Here is a 21,833-nt window from a genome sequence, read left to right as displayed (position 1 = left end):
GATGCATGGTAATTCTGAGTTTAATAGGCCTGACTTTGATATGCCTTTGATAATATGTGTACCAAAGATTACACATAGGCAAAACTCTCTACGATGATGTATATGGAAATTTCTTAATGTTTTCTATGATGTAGTAAGCATTTTACATTTCTACTTTGGTCTGTAATTAGCATCTGTATTTCATGAACATAAATTTAATACATAAAAGAAATAATTTACTTATTAAATAAATTTAATAAATTGCATAATTTATAAAATAATTTTCATATATAAAATATAAATAATTTATAAAATAAATATAATATTCAACTATCTTCAATTTTAAAAATCATTGCTATTTCTGGATGAGGAATCTGAGTCCAAGGAAAGATGCAAACTTTTTCTTTTCTTGACAGGGTTTTGTAACTCAAAAAAAAAAAAAATCCTATTAACTTCTAACTTATTTTCCGCACTGTACCACTAAGTGCAGAGGGCAATTCTGGAGCTAGGTTCAAATTGTACTACTATGTACTACAAAGGCCTGCGAATCTGGCCTTCCCCACACCTTCATCCTTATTATATTTTGGGCCCTCTTTCCCCTTCATTCCTTGCTCCAGCCACACTGGCTATTTTCCATCTGCCTTGCAGCCACATCTCAGGGTTTTTAGATACATGGTTTGACTTGTGATTTTTTTAGATCTGATCTAAGTCCCAATGTCTAGAAAGTCCAATGCCACTATTATATAAGGTCACAGCACTCTTCTTCATCGCTCCTATCAAAGCTACCATTTCATTTTTCTTTATTAAATATTTAGATATTTGTCTTTCAGTAAGATTGTAAGCTCCGCAAGGGCAGGGACTCTGTAGTTGTATTTATCATTGTATCTCTAGTATTTGGTATCTAGTATCTAGTATCTAATAAATCCTCTTAAAAATACTGATGGCTTGACTAATTAACCACACATAACATTCATCAGCTTTGGAGCTATGCTTACTGTTATCGGTTTGATTGGCAAGACAAAAGTGAATTCATCAAGGTCAACACTTTCAAAATGAGAAAGAGAATCCCCCAACCAAAAAGAACTTACCACAGTTGACTTCATCAGTACGATCACCACAGTCATCCACCAGATCACATAACCGAAGCTTTTCTATGCAAGCCCTGGTGTGGCGACACCAGAAATGATCCAGCCCTTCACAGCTCTCAGCAGGAAGAGGGAGAGTACAATTTTCAAATCGGATGTCATCAATAGCTGAGACCCCATCATAAATGCCCAGACTGACTTTATCTAGTGACAAATGGAAGGGCTGCGAAAGGCGCCCTAGCTGAATGGTTGCCTCCAACCATTGTTTGCCCTGATTGTATAATACTCTCCAAATCACTGTTGAGTCATGAGAATTTTCCATATGTAGCTGCAGCTCAGCTGCTCCCACTGACAGGCCATAGTTATAGAACCTAAAAAAGAGTAAACGTAAGAAATGGAAGTGATTTATAGAATAGACTACATATTTAACCTTTAGATTTTTCTACTCAGTCAACAGTCAATTTTAATGAGTTATCATAAGACGCTTTTCTTTCCCGCAATAACTGTGGCTGTCCATTTGCAAGAGCTTATCTACTGAGGCACACACTCTGTGGTTCTCACAACACTGGGAACTTGTCTCAAGGAGCTCAGTACATAACAAGAGGAAGAAATCTTAATTAAATTATAATCCATGGTTGGGGGGAAAGAGCCCCTTTCATCTTAAGAAAGAAAACAACATATACTGAGAACACGCTCCTAGGTAAAATTAAAATCATATGAATTTAATGCAATACTATTTTTAGAGTAAAACCAGCAGTAAACCACAGAAATGAATAAGTGCAGAGGTATGCCTGCAAACACTTCACCACCAGGGTGAACTGTTTAATATTGTTTAAATATTTGTTTAATATTTACCAGAAGGAAAGTATGCATCCAGGTCCTGTCTGGCTGAAAGTTGGGCTCTGAAGCTTAGCAACTTGCCACAAGCTGCTGCTTTTCTTCAGAATGAACATAAAATGCCCTGTTGAGATAAAAAAAAAAAAAAAACGCTTCATTAACCTATTGGATTCTAAAATGAGACATCTGTCTCTTAACCCTACACTGAGCAAGATCATTGTCTAACTGAAATTAAAATTATACAATAATCAATCAGTGACTCTTAGTCAAATTTGTTCTGATAAATATTGAACCACTATCTACATCTCATGCTAAATGATACCAAAGACCATTGGTAATTTCAGCTAGTTCAGCCAAAAATATATCTATATGCTATCTGTACCACCCATAAAGGAATCAGTCCATGCAGACAGCATAACTGTAATTGACAATATTCAACTATCTGACTGTTTGTTGTAGTTATCACAGAACCGTACTAGCTTTCCTTTCTCTTCTGAAGTCTAACTAAACAGTAAATAGCAGTGGTTGTAGAGTCCCTGTTTGCTTCTTACCTTGAGATGCGTTGAGACTATGATCCCGAGGTGGAGCCTGGTGCTCAAAATCAGCAGAAAGTTCACTCTGAGAGCTCCGTATCCAGTCAAAATGGTCACCACTAATTGCTTCAAACCAATCACAGCTGTTTGCTTCAAAGTCACACTTGGAAACTGAAGAACAAAAATGTGGCTCTTATGTTGGCTCTCCAAACTGCTCCCACACTTTGAAAAGGCAGAGCTCAAATAGAATTCACCTTATTATGCTTCTGTATGCACATGAAGGGCAATGAGGGACACATTTCAGAAAATAAAAAAGATCCTTTCTCATTTGCAAAAATGGAGCTATGCTTTCCATACTGGAGATCGAGAAGGCAGAATTCTCAATTTAAGAAATACAATTTTTTTCCGAATATTCTGAGAAACAGCATCATTCAGCCTGATTGCTTATAGAATTGCCAAGGTATGCCTAATTCATTCTGATACTCATGTTAGTTTCCCTGCTACTGTTACATCAGCTGGGAGGCATCATTGTTCCTGCAGGGTATTTTATGTTAAATCATGAAAAGCTACTACTTCTAAACAATTTAATATGTGAAGAATCCCAGATACACTATATTTAATACAATGTGTACCCCAGATTTTCATAGAGCTTAATATTTCACAAAGTGTTATATGCATTGCCTAATTGGTGCAGAAAATAATTTGAACTATTTTTCAGATAAATACGCAGATAAATCAGTTAAATTCCACAGAGATATTTTGGAAGATGAAGAGGAAAAAAGGAAGAAGAGAAAGAAAAAGAAAGGGAAATCATAATGTTAGTAATGTAATAATACAGCTGATAGTTATAGAACACTTTATGTAATAGACCCTGTGTGGAATATATATATCTAACTTTCACAAACAGCCATATAGGAAGGTATTATTGTTGTTGTTATTTTACAAAAGAAGACAGAGAGGTTGAGAGAAGTTATTAATGTAACCAAGGTCAAATATTTAGGAAGTTGTAGGGTGGGAACGTAATCCAAATATTGTGACTCCTAGGCTAAGATTCTTTCCGCAACTGTTGACAATAAGTGTTAACTGTCATTAGATTGAAAAAAAAAGTAAAGCAAAAAGGTATAATCTGAATTTGCTTGGTGTGAACATTCAGCTGTTACTACACAGACCAACGCAAAATGAAGTTCATTTTCACTGATGATGATTACACTGAAATTCTTAGCCATTGGCTATTTTTATCAAGGAATATAGCAATAAAACGCATAGACACACCCTTGTAAAATAAATTAGGAAGTAAACAATGAGTTTAGGGAAAAAAGTGTAAACTAAATCACTAAATGAGATTACAAAATTTAAAATTATAAGGGCATTTTAATGTAATAATAAAATTATAGGGAATTTAACCTAATTGTAAGAGCATTTTAACCCAATGATAAAAATATCATTTTGAATCCTGAAAATGCCTCTTCTACAGGGAGAAGAATGTGAGGTAATAATATTACAAACAACTTATAAGTTTTTTATACTTTCTATGAAATATCTAATTTCAAAACCATATTTGCTTTCTATCAAATTTCCTGGCCCAAATTTGGCCAGCAGAGTAGTTCTGAATCTTATCAGAATCAGAGGGAATGTATAAATACATCTATATATCTAAAAATAAATACTTTAAAAATGTCACATCTACACTTAATATGCAAGAGATAGCTATACTTCAGTATATAAAGACAATTAGAAACAAGCGAAATGAAAGAAGCTTTACTATATTTAGAGTAAAGTTTTCTCAGTCGGGCGCCGTGGCTCACACCTGTAATTCCAATACTTTGGGAGGCCTAGGCAGTCTGATCACAAGGTCAAGAGATCGAGACCATCCTGGCCAATATGGTGAAACCCCGTCTCTACTAAAAATACAAAAATTAGCTGGGCAGGGTGGCATGCATCTGCAGTCCCAGCTACTCGGGAGGCTGAGGCAGGAGAATCGCTTGAATCTGGGAGGCTGAGGTTGCAGTGAGCTGAGATCCTGCCACTGCACTCCAGCCTGGGTGACAGAGTGAGACTCTGTCTCAAAAAAAAGATTTATCAAGTAAAGTTTAGAAATCTTCGGTAAAGCAAAATTATATACTGCTCAAAAATTAAAGATAATAACAGTAAATAATACAAGTTAGAAATAAAATGCAAAGGATATTTGTCTTCACAGGATTAAAAGCTATCTCCATAAGTACATAATATGCAAACAACACATAAATATACATAGAGTCCAGGGTTTTCAAAGTGTCTAGATGTCATTTCAATACCTGGGAAGCAAATGCTTTTGATTCTTATTTCAGACAATTCAGGGAACTGGATCTAGGAGTTATTGTTATGTAAATACGGGGAGAAAGCAGGTTATTATTAATGTATAATATCTATCTCCCATAGCTACCTGGAAGGGGAACCTTATTATCTGCTATCCAGGGAGATATTGCTATAGAAATAAGTGAATATTCGAATGGTAGTAAAATTTAAGAAATCATTGCAGTGACTTTGTAGTCCTCTTAGATAAGACTCTTCAAAGATAATGATTTTCAACAGATAATTATGCTGTTAAAATTCAGATGTGCTTTTCTAGTATTCTTTATTCCTATAGATTTAAAAACTCCCCTTGATTGATCATAAATGTAATAATCAATTAAATTAGTCTTCTAGTTAGCCATTAATTGAATATATAAATATATATGTGTATATGTCAACACACATGTATACATATATAAAATTTCTAAGTTAGAAAAGGAGAAATAGCCTGGATATGTTTTAAAAATTGAGATCCTAGGATTTTTCACTGTTTCTGAAGCATTATTGACTTTCTCAGTTATCATCAACGGAATCCTCATTTTTGCAATAATAATTGCAATTAGCATTTACTCTGGGTTTAGTGTATAGCAAGCTTTGTGCTAGGGGCTGTTACAGGCATAACAGGATGCCCATTGACACAAAATTTCTATTTAATAAAAATTATGCCTGTCTGTACTATGGCTATAGATTAAAAAGCTAATGATTCTACAGCAGCTTTTAGTTGCTGTGAGAAAAATTACCTAAATGGCTTCTATTAATTATGTAAATATCATCACAGCAGTTGCCCCTGGAGAAAAGGCGTCAGGGGATACTTGCTGGGTTGGCTCACAGGTCCATCCCTGTCATTTTTTTGAGCTCTTCATTGAGATAAAAGAAGACGAATTTATGTAGAAGCCAAAAAAAAAAAAAAAAAAAAAAAAAACCTCAAGCAGGGAGGGAGAAAAAAAAAGCCCAGAATCAGATTCTTTCTTATTTCAGATTCACTGTCTTAGAACTTCTCTGATGGTTCAGTATGATTCTACCGAGGTTTGTTGGTAAGGAATAAACATGAAGTGTACAAAAAAGAAGTCTGAAGTCTGAGCTGGTAATTTGGGCCTCACATAAGGATTTAAACATTCATAGGAGGAAATACCTCCTAACGCATCATGTGGTTGAACTTTGAACAGTTGAACTCCTTCTGGTATTAGCCACAGAGGCAAGATGCACATGTTGAGTGAGAAAAACAAAATAAAACAAAAACATAACAAAGGCTGAGCATGTGAGTAGTAATTTTAAAAAGTTAAAACCTAGAGCTGCCATTGTGACTTACAGAAAGACATGAACCAGAAAGAACATAAATGTAGAGTGAAAAACATCTGTTAATACATACATCATCTTATTTATTCCTCATGAAATATCAAAGAAAATATTATTGTCCCTGTTTTATTTTATTATTCTTTTTTGAGACAGTCTCACTCAGTCACCCAGGCTGGAGTGCAGTGACATGACCTCAGCTCATGGCAGCCTCAACCTCCCAGGCTCAGGCCGTTCTCCGACTCAGCCTCCTGAGTAGCTGGGAACACAGGTGCATGCCACCACAACTGGATAATTTTTTTAAAAAATTTTGTTGAGATGGGGTCTCCTCATGTTGCCCACGCTGGTCTGAGGCCTCAAGGGTCCTCCTGCCTTGGCCTCCCAAAGTTCAGGGATTACAAGTGGTAAGCCACAGTGCTTGGCCATGTCCCTATTTTATTTTATTTTATTTTATTTTATTTATTTATTTATTTGGAGACAGAGTCTTGCTCTATACCCCAGAATGGAGTGCAGTGGTGCGATCTCAGCTCACTGCAACCTCCACCTCCCGGGTTCAAGCAATTCTCATGCCTCAGCTTACTGAGTAGCTGGGATTACAGGTGCCTGCCACCATACCCAGCTACTGTTTGTATTTTTAGTAGAGATGGGGTTTTGCCATGTTGGCCAGGCTGGTTTTGAACTCCTGACCTCAAGTGATCCACCCGCCTGGGCCTCTCAAAGTACTGAGATTACAGGCGTGAGCCACTGCACCTGGCCCGTGTCCTTATTTTAGATATGAGAAATATGAGGTTGAAAGAGGAGTGACATGTAATTTTTCAGTGCTCATTATTATTGTCATGATTCTAACCCAAACCTGATGGCAAAGGCTATCCTCTTAAAAATTATACAGCTTCTATTAAGTTAAATCATTAATAATTGTAACAATTTTTAAACAGCTATTCTATACCAAGCATTATGCTATGTGTTTTTAATGGAAGATGATACAAAATCAAAACATGTATGACCACGGGACACATTCCGGAAATAGGTGTTACACCATACAATAATAATCGCTGTTAAGTCCACCACATTGACTCTTCTTGTTCCTTTAAAGATTTTTTTTTCCTCTAGATTTTGTGCCCCTGCTGAAAGTTGCATGAAGGAGGACAAAAGTTAATTGAGTATTCTAGTATGTTGGCTTAGGTTCATAGAGGTTGTCCTTTATTTGATTAAGCATTTGCTATAAACTCCAAATGCATGAATACTCTATTCTCTATTTTGGAACAGGTTCTGTAACGTTGTAATTCTTTTGAGTTTCAGGCTTTTCCATGCATTCTAATGGTTATGTGTTTGAAGTTATCATAAGGTTGAAGCAATTAAACTCTAGACTTCATCAATAGTTAATAGTCATTAATTATTTAAAATAAAATATACAATAGTAAGGGAATGTTTGCAAAAGTACCATAAAATTATTTTAAAGCTGTCTATATAAATGAATAGAAATAATTAACTCTTTTAAAAATGCCAATACATAAATAATGAAATCATTATTGTCTTTGGAATAAGAATAATTAATTACACTATTCTACCCATGGCTTAAAGGGTCTCCTGAGATCTAGACAATGTAGAGTTATTATTGGTAGACAATTCCTCATGGGTCTCTTATGCTTCTGCACAGGTTATGAGCAGGGCCGTTAACTGCCCCTTTGTTCCAGGCTATCCTTTCAAGGATATTTAAATAGTAGAGCTATGAAAGACAGATAGTGACTCCCTCTACAACAGAAGGCAAGTTATTATCCTGTAGAATAAAGATAATGTCTCCTTCTAAAGAAAAGGTCAGACAAGTTTATTTGCAGCCCATCATAAAAGATTTTAGTTCCATAAGTTTAGGCCTCTTTAGCGGTGATACAAGCCTGCTTCATGTGTACATCTATCTACCTGGGCACCTCTCTGTTGGTCCCTTTCTCAGGGGACATGGAGAGCAAGAAGAACCAATGCAAATATGTTGCTCACAACATTTGCTATACCATTAGTAATAAAGTCATCTGTCTGTGACACAGGAATCTCACCTCTTGTGTCAGCATCCATGAAACAATGGCAGGCTAACTTGTTTCCTTATCAGTCAGGTAAAATTTTAGATCCTTCACAATACTTGACGCTATATTAAATATCTATGTATACTACCACTTTGCAGTGAGCCGAGATCATGCCACTGCACTACAGCCTGGGCGACAGAGACTCCGTCTCAAAAAAAGAAAAAAAGAAAGCTTAGACTCTAGTGTGGGAAATTCATAAGCAAGTAAGCAATCATGAGAGTAAAAACCACTATGTGCTCATTCATTCATTATTCATTCATTCGACAAAAACTTAGCAAATACATGCTATATGTCTGCACAAGTATAAAGTCTAAGAGCACAGCAGGGAAAAGAAAGAAAACCTCTGTCCTCATGGATTTTACATATGAAAGCCAGGGGGGTGTGGACATTAGTGGAGATAACAATAAAAACACAAGATAAATAAGTAATGGTAAAAGGGCTAATAAAAAATAAAATAAGGAAGAATATTGAAAATGTTAGAGCAAAGGGCTGTAATTTTATCAATGATCAAGGAAGACTTTATAGAAAAGTTGGCAACTGGGTAAATGGCTGAAGGAGGTAGGTGAGGAAGCAAGTTGTGGAGCTATGCCGGTAAAGGACACCCACCACTGAGGGAATCACAGGGACAAAGCCTTGAGGCCATAGCATGCTTCTCATGTTTCAGATGTATTCAGAGACCAGGGTGTCACAAGGACAATGAGTGAGGGTAGAATAAGAAGATATTATATTAGACAGTCACTTCAATTTTTTTGGCTATGATTTTGAATGAGATGGGAACCAACTGGGATGTTTTAAGCAGAGATGTGACAACATCTGACTTTACTGAAGAGAGTGGAGGACAAAAAAGGAAGGGGAAGAATACTGCAAAAATCCAGACAAGAAATGAGAATTCGAGGTCAAGGTGTGATATGGTTTGGCTCTGTGTTCCCACCAAAATCTCATCTTGAATTGTAATTCTCACGTGTTGAGGGAGGGACCTGGGGGGACAAGATTGGATCATGGGGGTGATTTCCCCCATGCTGTTCTCGTTATAGTGAGTGAATTCTCATGAGAGCTGATGGTTTAAAAGTTGTGCTTCTCCTTTCATTCTCTCTCTCTCCTGCCACCATATAAGACGTGCCTTGCTTCCCCTTCACCTTCTGCCATGATTGTGAGTTTCCTGAGGCCTCCCAAGCCATGCAGAGCCGTGAGTCAATTAAACTTCTTTCCTTTATAAATTACCCAGCCTCAGGCCGTTCTTTAGAGCAGTGTGAAAACAGACTAATTCAGGGTGGTAGCAATGAAGAAAAAAATTAGCCATTGTGGAGATACTTTGAAAGCAGACATGACAGGATTAATTGATATCAAAGGTGTAGTATGAGAAAAACAGAAGTTAATGATTTCAAAGTCTTTAACCTAAGCATTTGGAACCATGGAGGTACCATTTATGAAGTGGGGAAGACTGTGGGGAGGCAGGTTTGGAGGTGGTTGAGGGAAACAGAATCTCAATTTTGGACATGTTGCACTTGCTGTTCCTATTAGGTATTCAAGTGATCATGTCAGGTCAAGAGCTGTATGTATGAATCCAGAGTTCACATGAGGAGGTTAGGCTGGAGATATAAATTAGAAAATTATCTAAGTGACAAAAAGAAGGCATAAAAATAGGAGAAAAAAAAAAAAAAAACAAAGAGTGGTGCCCCATGCCATGAGAGCCAAGTCAAGTTTAAGTATTTGAAGGAGGAGGGTGATACCATCTGTGTCAAATGAAGATTGAGAATAGGTCACTGGATCTAGGTCACTGGTAGCTTGGATAAGAACAGTTTCTGTTGAATGGTGACAGCCAGAGCCTCACTGGACTGAGTTAAAAAGAGATTCAGAAGAGAAAGTTTAAAGAAAGTGAATACAGTGAATTCTTTTGAGTAATATAAAAGAAAGGAGGAAAATGTAAAGGAAATGAGAGAAAAATGGTATGTTAGCAGGAAGGAGAAATTAGATCAAGAGAAGATATTTTTAAGATGTGAGAGGTAAAAACTTTTTTTTCTTTCTTATAGAAAAGACTGGTAGACAGAAGAACTTTCAGGAGTAATGCTGTTGAACAGGCAAATAGAGAGGGGTTCTACATAAAAGAAACACGGACAGTTTACTTCGGGTACAGGAGAAAAGACTGACTTTACAAGTGGGTAGAAGTGGTGCTGGAACTTCTAAAAGTTCTTTTCTGGTTGTTTCTATTTTTTCAGTGAAATAGTATGTCAGATCATCAGTTGAGGCTAGGAATAGGGAAGTGGAAGACAGATGTCAAAGAAGACGGAAGAAAAATGTGTTATTCATTGAGGAGGGCGGGGGAAGGAATGGACTGGGGAAATTGCATGTGCTTGCTGGGTAGCACCGAGAACACACTTTAGGGCAGCAATCCCCAATGTAAAGTGAGAACAGGTGTCACTGGGTTTTTGCTTGTTTGTTTGTTTTTGTTTTTCCATCTCTAGCCACATTCAGCTATGCTTTGTGGACTGGATGTGGAGTATAAGGAAAAGGGTGGAGTTAAAGATGAGTACAAAGTTTTTACCTGTAGCAACTGAAGAATGGTGTTGTCATTTCTAACCCCGGACATACTCTAAGACTGTGTTTGGAGGAAAGTCTCAGAAGCTTGCAGGTGGGTATGAAAAATTTAAGATCCCAATTAAACATCCAGGGGAAGATGTCTAATAGAGAGTTAGATCTGAGTCTGGAGTTCAAGGAAGAGGTTTAAACTAGAGATATAAATTTGGGAGACACGATCATATCAACGGCATTTAAAGCTGGAGACTAGATGAGTTTTCTACAGTAGTGAAGATAAAAGATCTAAGGTCTAGACGTCAGAGCCAGAAAGAAAAAGAAGCAAAGATGAGAAGGAACAATCAAGGAAGCTGAGGAAAACCTAGGGAATTTGCCATCTTGAAAGCCAAGTGAATAAAATGTTTTCAGGAAATGGAAAATGTGGTTACCTGCAAATATTGCTTTTAGTAATCCCCATTTATTTACAAGAGATATTTTCCAAGACCCCCTAGTAGATGGCTGAAGCTCTGGATTATCCTGAACACTATGTACGCTGCTTTTCTATCTGATAATCAAGTTGGCTAACAGGCAGTGGGGTCACAGACCGCCTGAATACACTGGACAAAAGGATGATTCCACATCCTGGGCAGGACAGATAAGGACAGCGTGAGATTTCATCACACTACTCAGAATGGAGTGCAATTTAAAACTTGTGAATGTATTTCTGGAATTTTCCATTTTATATTTTCAGACTGAGATTGACTGTGGAAGGCAAAACTGCAGATAAGGGTGGACTACTGTATAAATCAGGATGAGGGCTAAGAATTGACTTTTAGATGTAACAATATAAGGCCCTTGTGGGTCCTGATTACAGGGGAAAAAGCCTGAATGGAGAGAATTTAAGTAAATTTTGGAGGAGAGAATAACTTTTGACAACATCTTTCTAAGACTTTATCAAGGAAAACTGAGAAATGAGGTGGAAAGCTGTCATATAAAATGGGGTCAAGAGAATTGAACAGCATGTTTATTTAGGCTCATGGGGAAGACACAGCAGACAAGGAAAAAGTGGTGGGCTTTGCTGGAGAGACACCATTGAATAGTAAAGAAAGGATGGGATCTAGTTCACAAGCAGAAAGTATAGAAGTGTCCAGACAGCTCGTGTATGGTAATAGACTGACAGTGTCATTATGGAAATTGTATTTTAGAAACTGGGAATAATGAAGAAATCAAGGCTGCCTGAGTAGCACTAAAGACTGACAGTGAAAAAGAAGAGAACGTTTTGTTGTTACTGGATAAATGAGTCTCACCAGGAACTCTTGTAACTCGAGAGTCCTTAAAGAGGACTCAATAGGCTATGAAAAATATTACAAAAATACAATCAATAACTGTGTATTAATTCATACTAAATTTTTACAGTCTTACAAATAACCTACGTTTATTTTCTTTATGTTTATGTTTAAAAGTAAATATAACTTAGGCACATCAGGGTGTCTAAGGAGCACCCACAATTGCGTTTGAAACGTGAAATTGTATTAGTCAGCTCATGTTAATAACAGTACCCACTACTATGCTTATATTTATGAGAAGATTGTTAGTACTATGGTGATATGAGGTGGGTTGTTATTAGACAAATAATATAATTTTTTTAGATAATCACATTAACAGTATACTATAGTAATGTAGATGAACAAAATGTATGATTCGTAAAAGACCCTACTATTTTTTCTCTGGGGGTAGGCAGAAATCAGTGATGTATTTTTAAAATAATGTGATTTTTTTCTGTCATGTTAAATGTTTATTTATATTGTCTTTGCATTATATATATGTGTGTGTATATATATATATATTTTTTTTCCCCCAGACTAAGCTAATGATCTCAAATGTTTTATACTTCTTGACAAAAGCTCAATTACCTAAAGAGCCAAAATATGAATATTTTAAGCTAAAACTCAAGTTGCTTGCTTAAAATTCACAGGGAACTCTTATTACCCAAGATAACCTGCTCTCCAGGATATAAGGAATTATTTATATTAACGCTACTCATTTTTACAACCCAAATCAAGTGCAATTGCATTAATATTCCCATGTCTTGTAGCACAATTTAATAATTCCATTTTTCTTTTCTTTGTTTTTTTGAGATGGGGTCTCGCTGTGTTGCCCAGGCTGGATGCAGTGGCATGATCACGGCTCAATGCAGCCTCAACCTCCCAGGCTCAAGAGATCCTTTCATCTCAGCCTCTGAGTAGCTGGGACTACAGGCATGTGCCACCATGCCCAGCTAATTTTTGTATTTTTTGTAGAGATGAGGTTTTGCCATGTTGCCCAGACTGGTCTGGAACTCCTGGGCTTAAGCGATCCTCCTGCCTCAGCCTCTCAAAGTGCTGAGATTACAGGTGTGAGCCACTGAGCCTGGCTTGATAGTTCCATCTTATTTCATGACTATGTATGCCTGATGTTGTAAGTTATTTTATCACTACTTCCCATTCCCTCTTACAATTATATTGTTGATCGTTTGTTGAAATAATGTTGGCCTTCTTTCAGAACTCATTGTGGGGCATACAGTATTTCCAGGAACTGAAGAAATATTTGAAAAATCTGTCTAATAAATTTCAAAACTGAAAAGAATATAAAGCTATATTTCAAGGATCCCTGTGAGCACAAAAGAACAAATACAAAGAAAACCCACATAGGCACACCCTAGCCAAACTGCCAAAAATCTGTGCCAGAGAGAAAAATGTTAAAAGCAGCTGGAAAAAAAAAGCATAAATCACCTTCAAAGAATAATTATTAGACCTCTTTAATAGATGCAATAGAAACCAGAAGGAAAAGGAATGTTATCTTTAGAGTCTTGAAAGAAAGTAACTGCCAGTGCATTTGTTTTCTATTGATACCCAGGGCATTTGTTTTATTTTAGTTTCTATTAGTTTTCTCTTGCTATGTAACAAACAACCACAAACCTAGGGACTTGCAACACTCATTTATTATCTCTTAGTTTCTGTAGGTCAGATGTCTAGGATGACATGGCATGGCTGTCTGCTTAGGGTCTCATAAGGTAGTAATAAAAGTACAAGGTACGATGGCTCTATCTGGAGGCTGTGGGGGGAAATCTTCCTGGCTTATTCTCATTTAGATGGTTGGCAGAATTCAGTTTCTTGTGGCTGCAAGACTGAGATCCTTGTTTTATTTGCTGCCTGTCTGCTGAGGATTTCTTTCATCTCCTTAAGCCCACCTGTCATATCTTTTCATGTGGCTCCTTACATCTTTAAACCAGCAGTGGTATATCAAGCCCTCTTCTTATTTGCTTTTCCCCCTACTTTTTCTTTATTGTGATAAAATACACATAACATAAAATGTATTATTATCTAAACCATTTTAAGTGCACAACTTAGGAGTATTAAGTGCTTTCATATTGTTGCACAACCATCACCAACATCCATGTCCAAAACTCTTTTCATCTCGCAAAACTGACATCTGTACCCATTACACAAGAATTATCCACTCCTTTCTTCCCTCAGGCCCAGGAATCTACCATTCTACTTTCTGTCTCTAAGATTTAGGCTATTCACTATACCTCGGATAAGTCTAATCATATCATTACTTCTTTTTGTGACTGGCTTATTTCACTGAGCAGTATGTCCTCAAGTTTTTTTTTTATTTTATTTATTTTCATTTATTTACTTATCCCTTTGGACAGAGTTTTGCTCTATTGCCCAGGCTGGAGTGCAGTGGCACGAGCGATTTCAGCTCACTACAACCTCCGCTTCCCAGGTTCAAGCAATTCTCCTGCCTCAGCCTCCTGAGTAGCTGGGATTACAGATGCACACCACCACTCCCAGCTAATTTTTGTATTTTTAGTAGAGATGGGATTTCACCATGTTGGCCATGCTGGTCTCAAACTCCTGACCTCAGGTGATCCACCTACCTCAGCCTCCCAAAGTGCTAGGATTACAGGTGTGAGTAACCGCACCCGGCCATGTCCTCAAGTTTTATTCACTTTGTAGTGTATGTCAGAATTTCTTTCCTTGTTATGACTAAATAACATTCCATTGTATGCATTCACCACATTTTTCTGATCCACTCATCAGTCAATGAATAATTGGGTTACTTTCAGGTTTTAGCTATTGTGAATAATGCTTCTATGAACATGAGTGTGCAAATATCTCTTTGAGATCTTGCTTTTAATTATTTTGAGTATATACCCAAAACTGGAATTGCCGAAGCATATGGTAATTATATTTTTAATTTTTTTGAAGAATTGCTTTCCTCTTCCACAGTAGCTATGCCATTTTACATTCCCTAACAGTGCACAAGAGTTCTGATTCCCACATCCTCACCAACACTTGTTAACTTCTGGATTGGTTTTTTGTTTGGTTTTGTTTTTGGTTTTTATTATTTTTGGGTAGTAATCTAATGGATGCAAGGTGGTATCTCATTGTTTTGATTTGCATTTCCCTAATGTTGGTGATGTTGGACATCTTTTCACATGCTTATTGGAGAAATGTCCATTAAAATATTTTGTCTTCTTTGGAGAAATGTCCATTAAAATATTTTGTCTATTTTTGAATTGAGCTGTTGGTTTATTATTGAGTTTTAGAAGTTCTCTCCTATATTGTGGATATCAATCCCTTATCAGATATACAATTTGCAAAAAGTTTCTCCCCTTCTTGGGGTTGCCTTTTTACTCTGTTGATAGTGTTTTAGGATGCAAAAAATTTTAAAGCTCTCATAAAGTCCAATTTGTCTATTTTTTATTTTGTTGCCTGTGCCTTTGGTGTCATCCATTAAATCATTGACAGACACAGCATCATAAGGTTTCTGTCCTATATTTTCTTCTAAGAGTTTTATAGTTTTAGGTCTTATATTTAGTTTATGGATTGATTTTGAGTTACTTTTTGAATATGAAGTTAGGTAAGGGTCCAACTTCATACTTTCGCAAGTTGATATCTAGTTTTCCCAGCAGCATGTATTGAAAATACTGGATTTTACCAATTGAATGGTGTTGGTACCTTTGCCAAAAAAAAAAAAAAAAATCACTTGTTCATATATGTGAGGGTTTATTTCTGGACTCTGTAATCTATTCCACTGATCTATACATTGGTCTTTTTGGCAGTACCATACTGTTTTGTTTACTGTAGTTTTGTAATAAGTTTTGAAATCAGGGTGTGTGTGTCCTCCAACTTTGTTCCTCTTTTTCAGAATTATTTTGTCTATTTGGGGTTCTTTGAGATTCAATATGAACTTACTTTCTATTTCAGCTAAAAAATGTGATTGGTATTTTAACAGGGATTATATCGAATCTGTAGATCACTTTGAGTGATACTGACATCTTAAGAATATTACGTCTTCTGATCTATGAACATGGAATGTCTTTTCATTATCTATATTTTTAAAAATTTATTTCAGAAATGTTTTTTATTTTTTATTGTACAAGTCTTTCACCATCTTGATTAATTCCTAAAGACTTTTATTCTTTTTTCTGTTATTGCAAGAGAATTGGGTTTTTAATTTCCTTTTTGGATGGTTCATTGCTAATGTAAAGAAATGCAACCAATTTTTGTATTTTAACTTTACATTTTGTTGAATTCATGTTTTAGTTCTAACAGGGTTTTTTGTAGAACTTAAAGGGATATTTACATATAAAAATTCTTTGTTTCCAATTTGTATGACTTTTATTTCATTTTCTTTATTCCTATTATTTTCTTTTTTGTTATGTTTTAAATTAATTGCTTTTGCTAGTACTACGAATAGAAGTGGCAAACATGGATATGGATGGACATCCTTTCCTTATTCCTGATCTTAGAAGAAAAGCTTTTAGTCTTTCACCAATGAGTATAATGTAGCTGTGAGTTTTTCATACATGGCTTTTATTATGTTGAGGTGGTTTCCTTTTATTCCTGGTTTGTTGAGTATTTTTATCCTGAATTAAATATTGAATTGTATCAAATGTTTTTTTCTGCATCAATTGAGGTGATCACGTGTTTTTTTCTTTCCTTCGTTCTGTTAATGTGGTGCATTACATAGACAGATATTCCTAGGTTGAACCATTCCTGCATTCCAGGAAAAAAATCCCACTTGGTCATGTTGTATAATCTTTTTAATATGCTTCTGAAATAACTTTGCTAATATTTTGTTGAGGATTTTGCATAAACGATCATAAAGCATATAGGTTCATAGTTTTTTTTGCAGTCTCTTTGTCTGGCTTGAGTCTCAGGGTAATGCTGGCCTCATTGAATAAGTTAGAAAATATTCCTTGTCTTCAATTTTTTGGAAAAATTTGAGAGGATTGTTGTTAGTTCTTTTTTACATACTTGGCAAACTTCACCACTGACACTAATGGGACAGTTCCAGGGCTTTACTTTGTTAGCAGATCTTTTATTATTCATCAAATCTCTTTGCTAGTTGTAGGTCCATTCAGATTTTCTGTTTCTTTGTGCTTTAATCTTGGTAGGTTTTACATTTCTAGGAATCTGTTTATTATACTTAAGTTATCCAATTTTGTGGCATGTATTTGTATATGGTACTCTAATCTTATAATCTTTTTTATTTATGTAGAATTGAAAGCAATGTCCCCACTTTTATTTCTGATTATAGTAATTTGAATCTTCTCTCTCTCTTTGTCTCTCCCTCTCTCTGTCTCTCTCCCTTTCTCTCTCTCCCTAGGTCCATTTCGTTAAAGGTTTGTCAATTTTACCAATCTTTTTGAAGAACCAATGTTTGATTTCTTTGATTTGCTTTATTATCTTTATATTATTTATTCATTTCTATCAAAGCTTTTCACTTCTACCTGCCTTCAAAATAGATCCAGAATCTGCCCACTTCTGACCATCTCTACTGCTCTCACCCTACCTAGCTCAAGTCACCATCATTTCCTTATTCAGTCCTTGGAATACTCCCCAACTGCTCTTTCTGCTTCCATTTCTGACACTGGCCAACAGTTGGCAGTTTGCTGGTGATGTCTTCTAGACTTTGGTGTTGCTAGTACCTGAACTGACAATAACAGCTGAGCTGTAGTGATCTTCCGTTGAACATAAAGATTTGCACATATCAACAACATTAAACAAGGTAGCTCCGTAGACTGAGAAATAAAACCAGACAAAAAGAAGGCCACTCTATTCATTTCTGAACACAGACAAAAAAAGATCACAGTGTAAACTCGAAAGTCCTCAAATATTCATTCCCCTTTCCTGACTGACATGAGTATTGTATTTTAACCAATTATAACTTTAGTTCAATTTATCTCACCTCCTAAATAAAATTTGTTCAGATATACAATCACAGAATTATCCTATTTCTTGAAAACATCCAATCAAAAGAAAATTCTTGCTTCCTTGAGCCCTTCTCTAAATGACCCAACACAAGTCCAAATCCTAGAACAAGTTCCTCTTGTTAAGCCACGTCCCAGTTTCTCCTAGTAGGCTATTTTCCTTGCTTAGCAACTATCAATAAACCCAATCTTGTTACAGGTGGTCATTGACGATGGGCATCAATAACCCCCTTCTATCTCTTTTCAATGTAGCAAACACAGTGATTGTGGCAAGTCAGATCTTGCAAGTCTTCTGTTCAAAATGCTCCCAGTCTCATTTAAAAGCTAGTGTCCTTACAATCACCCATAAGGCCTCGGCTGAAATGGTCCTCAACCTTGGATGCACATAATTTAAAAACTGTGAATGACAGGATTCTACCCTAGAGATTGTGATTTAATTAGCCCTGCCTCAAGACTTTTTATTTCGACTTTTATTTTAGATATAGTGAATACATGTGCATATTTGTTACATGGCAATGTTGCACGATGCTGAGGTTTGGAGTACAGATCCCATAACCCAGGTAGTGAGCACAGTACCCAATAGGTAGTTTTGAAACCTACCCACCTCTCCACCCTCCTGTAGTCCATTGTCTATTGTCTCCATATTTATGTCCATGTGAACTCAATGTTTTAGTTCCCACTTACGAGTGAGAACATGTGGTATTTGGTTTCCGTTTCTGTTAATTTGCTTAGGATTCCGGCCTCCAACTCAATCCATGTTGCTGCAAAGAACTCTGAGTGTCTCTCACACACAGCCAGTGTTGGGAACCATTGCTCTAGGTGGGCTGCTCTTCCTCAGCCTTATTATCCTATAATTGTTCTCTATAATCAACCTCTTCCAGCCACATTGGTCCCCTTGCTATTGTTCAAATTCACCAGATGTGTTCCTGTCCCAATCCCTTAGTTCCTTCTTTCTGCTTAGAACACTCTTTCTTTTCTTTTGAGATATCTCAAAGCTTGTTTCCTCACCTTCTCAAGTCTTTGTTACAATACCACCTTGTAACTGAGATGTACTATGACCACTCTCTTGGAAATTGCAAAGCTCCCTTGCCTTCCCCCATTGCCCTTTCCTTGCCTCATTTTTTTTTCTACAGCACACATCCCTTCTAAAAATAGTACATAATTTATTCACTCATTATAAGGGTCAGTCTGTCCCCAGCTAGGAAGCAGGGCCCTAATATTAATCCTCTTTATGCCTTATTTTACAGAGCTATAAATTAGTTTGTGCATGCAAATTTACTTCAAACACTGTCAGCTATAAAGTAAGTGCTTAAAAGTAAGCATGTGAGTATTTATACTACATAAATTAACTAAATTATTATGTGGTCTTTTAGGTGTCTCTAAACCTATAACCCAAAGAGATAATTGTATCACATCAGAAGCAGTGTACATTTCACTCCCTACAGTGGTGTGTTTCTGCAAGGCAGGGAGACGTCGATTGCTTGGATGCTTGGAACACTTAGTGTTAGGTGGGGAAGGCTCTTTACGCCCCTTTTTTACCTATCACACACATTGCTAACCTGAAAATGGAAACAAAATGAACAAGAGTAGTGGCATGTGAGAAAAGAGAAGAACTGAATAGTTTCAGCAGATAAGCAACAAAAAGAAAAGGAAAGCCAGTAATACTTCTAACACAATTTTAAGAGTGAAGAAGAACAACGATCTTGTCAAAAAAATAATATCCCAGTCGAGCTCAAAGTATGACACGGAAAAAAAAATCCACTCTCTCCACAGTCACCATTAATAATCTAATGTATTGAAACTTAATCTTAAATAATTATAGAAAAAGGCTTTCTTGTTAAATGCCTGCTTTTATTCTCAATAGAATTTTCAACGGCGGAAGAAGAATCACGTATTTTCACTACTATCCTGAATTCTCCTAATTTAACAACATGATTATCTGCAGCAAAGACTGATCAAAATAGCATGGGTTATTTATCAGATTTTACCTGACTATAGAAATAGTTTTCACTTTTCTTTATCGGAGATCAGTGACTTCCATAAATGAGGGTGAATGGACGTTTTCTCCACTTCTTGATTTCATGCCACAGAAATGATGAGCCTTCACCAGAAACAACCTCCCATTAGGGTCTTTCACAATGACATCTGTCTAGAGCGGTTTGTCTGAATAGAAAATAGTTGTCTAGATTTTAAACTTGAGGACAATGAGAAGAGAATGGAAATCCAGTTTACTAAGGAAAAATAACTAGATAGCCTTTTTTCCCTACAGAGACTTATTTACCAATATGCATTTAATAAAAGGGGAAGATAATAATTAGCAAGTGTAGGTATATTTTCAGACTTTTTTTCCTTGTATTCAGGGCTATGGAAAAAGAACATAAGATAGAACACAGAAAACAGCAGCTCATTTTTCCAGACCTTACAAAATTAAAAGTAATTTGTAATTATACAGAGAGACACATCATAGAAATCCTTTAATATTATAATTAAGATGAAGTATCTCCAATCTAGCCAAAAAGGCCTACTCAGAAACATTTTTCAGAAAATACACTGAAAAAAGTAGTCCTAATTCAAAGACTAACACACACACACACACACACACACACACACTATCTCAAAACATATAGAGCAGAGAGTTGCTATAGGAAATTCAAGCCTTCTCTTAATGCATTTATGTAATAAAAGAAAACATAAGTCTCAGTGCAGAGTAATGCAATTATTCTTGGTCAATACTGAGTACATAAGATACATGGCTTGCAAAGTATCAACACACATAAAATGACTTTGTCTCTATTATGCATCTCTGCTGTGGAAATGCCAGTGTCTAATGCACATATTTCTGTATTTAGCAGATATACTAGTTTGAGGAAAATATATAACCAGCATCTAAGATTGAATAAATAAATAAATAAATAATAAATCACTCCTTTTCCTTGTACTATTCAACCTTGGCTAAGGTTTCATTGAATTCAACTACTCAGTAGAGACTTACATGTTTTTTTTTTCTCATGAGTAGACAGAAAAGTAGAATATAGGAAATTGTTTAGAATTTTTTCATAAAATTAGTACATGCACTTTGGACTAAATAGGTTTTAGACAGAAATAAATTATAGTGCTCACTAAATGTTGTTTGGAAATATTAAAATGTCTTTACAACTTACAGAGCTGCTTAAGTAAATTTTGGCTTTCTTGCCTACATTACATAGCACAGCCAGTACAAAATAGTTTATATATGTCCTGTTAATACAATGTAGGCGTGAGAAAATGTACCATTTATACTATTTGACACATAATATCTTCATTTTCCAGTATACACATTATCTCTTGGAACGAAAGAAAGCACTACATAAAGTAGCATTATTTATTTTAGTCTTGAGGAAACAAAGTATTTGTTCACAAAAATAGGAACTTATAAATAGTATTTGCATAATCATGAAAAGTGAAAGTAAATTTCAAAATGGACTTCAAACACAGGGACACTGCCACAGTTTTACTTTGTTGATATGATTGTTTATTAGCATAATGTTTTGGGGAAACATTTGGCAAAATGTGTTGAATGTCATTAAATGACAATTTAGGCCAGGCATGGCAGCTCATGCCTGTAATCTCAGCACTTCGGGAGGCCAAGGCGAGTGGATCACCTGAGGTCAGGAGTTCAAGACCAGCCTGGCCAACATGGCAAAACCCCATCTCCACTAAAAATACAAAAATTAGCTGGGCACGGTGGTGCTCACCTGTAGTCTAGCCACTAGGGAGGCTGAGGCAGGAGAATCACTTGAATCCGGGAAGCAGAGGTTGCAGTGAGCCAAGATCGCACCACTGCACCCCAGCCTGGGCAACAGACCAAGACCCTGTTTCAAAAACAAAACAAAACAAAACAACAACAACTACAAAAAACTTAAACCCCAAATTTCCCTTTTTATGA

The 21,833-nt window shown here is 36.2% G+C and overlaps 1 protein-coding gene across 10 annotated transcripts in view; it reads right to left on the bottom strand.

Annotated features, from left to right (window-relative positions):
* The window catches only part of MALRD1 (MAM and LDL receptor class A domain containing 1), a 687,552-nt gene that overhangs the window by 528,146 nt on the left and 137,573 nt on the right, over positions 1–21,833 (bottom strand). For all 10 annotated transcript variants that reach the window (XM_011519453.3, XM_011519455.3, XM_011519454.2 and 7 more), the window contains 3 exons: positions 2,453–2,605; positions 1,920–2,025; positions 1,068–1,435 (listed from right to left, as the gene is read on the bottom strand). In XM_011519453.3, coding sequence (XP_011517755.1) covers positions 1,068–1,435; positions 1,920–2,025; positions 2,453–2,605 — 627 coding nt within the window. The remainder of the gene's footprint in view (positions 1–1,067; positions 1,436–1,919; positions 2,026–2,452; positions 2,606–21,833) is intronic.

The sequence above is a fragment of the Homo sapiens genome, chromosome 10, assembly GCF_000001405.40.
Source record: "Homo sapiens chromosome 10, GRCh38.p14 Primary Assembly".
NCBI classification, from domain to species: domain Eukaryota; kingdom Metazoa; phylum Chordata; class Mammalia; order Primates; family Hominidae; genus Homo; species Homo sapiens.
This window is presented reverse-complemented; position numbering and strand designations above follow the sequence as displayed.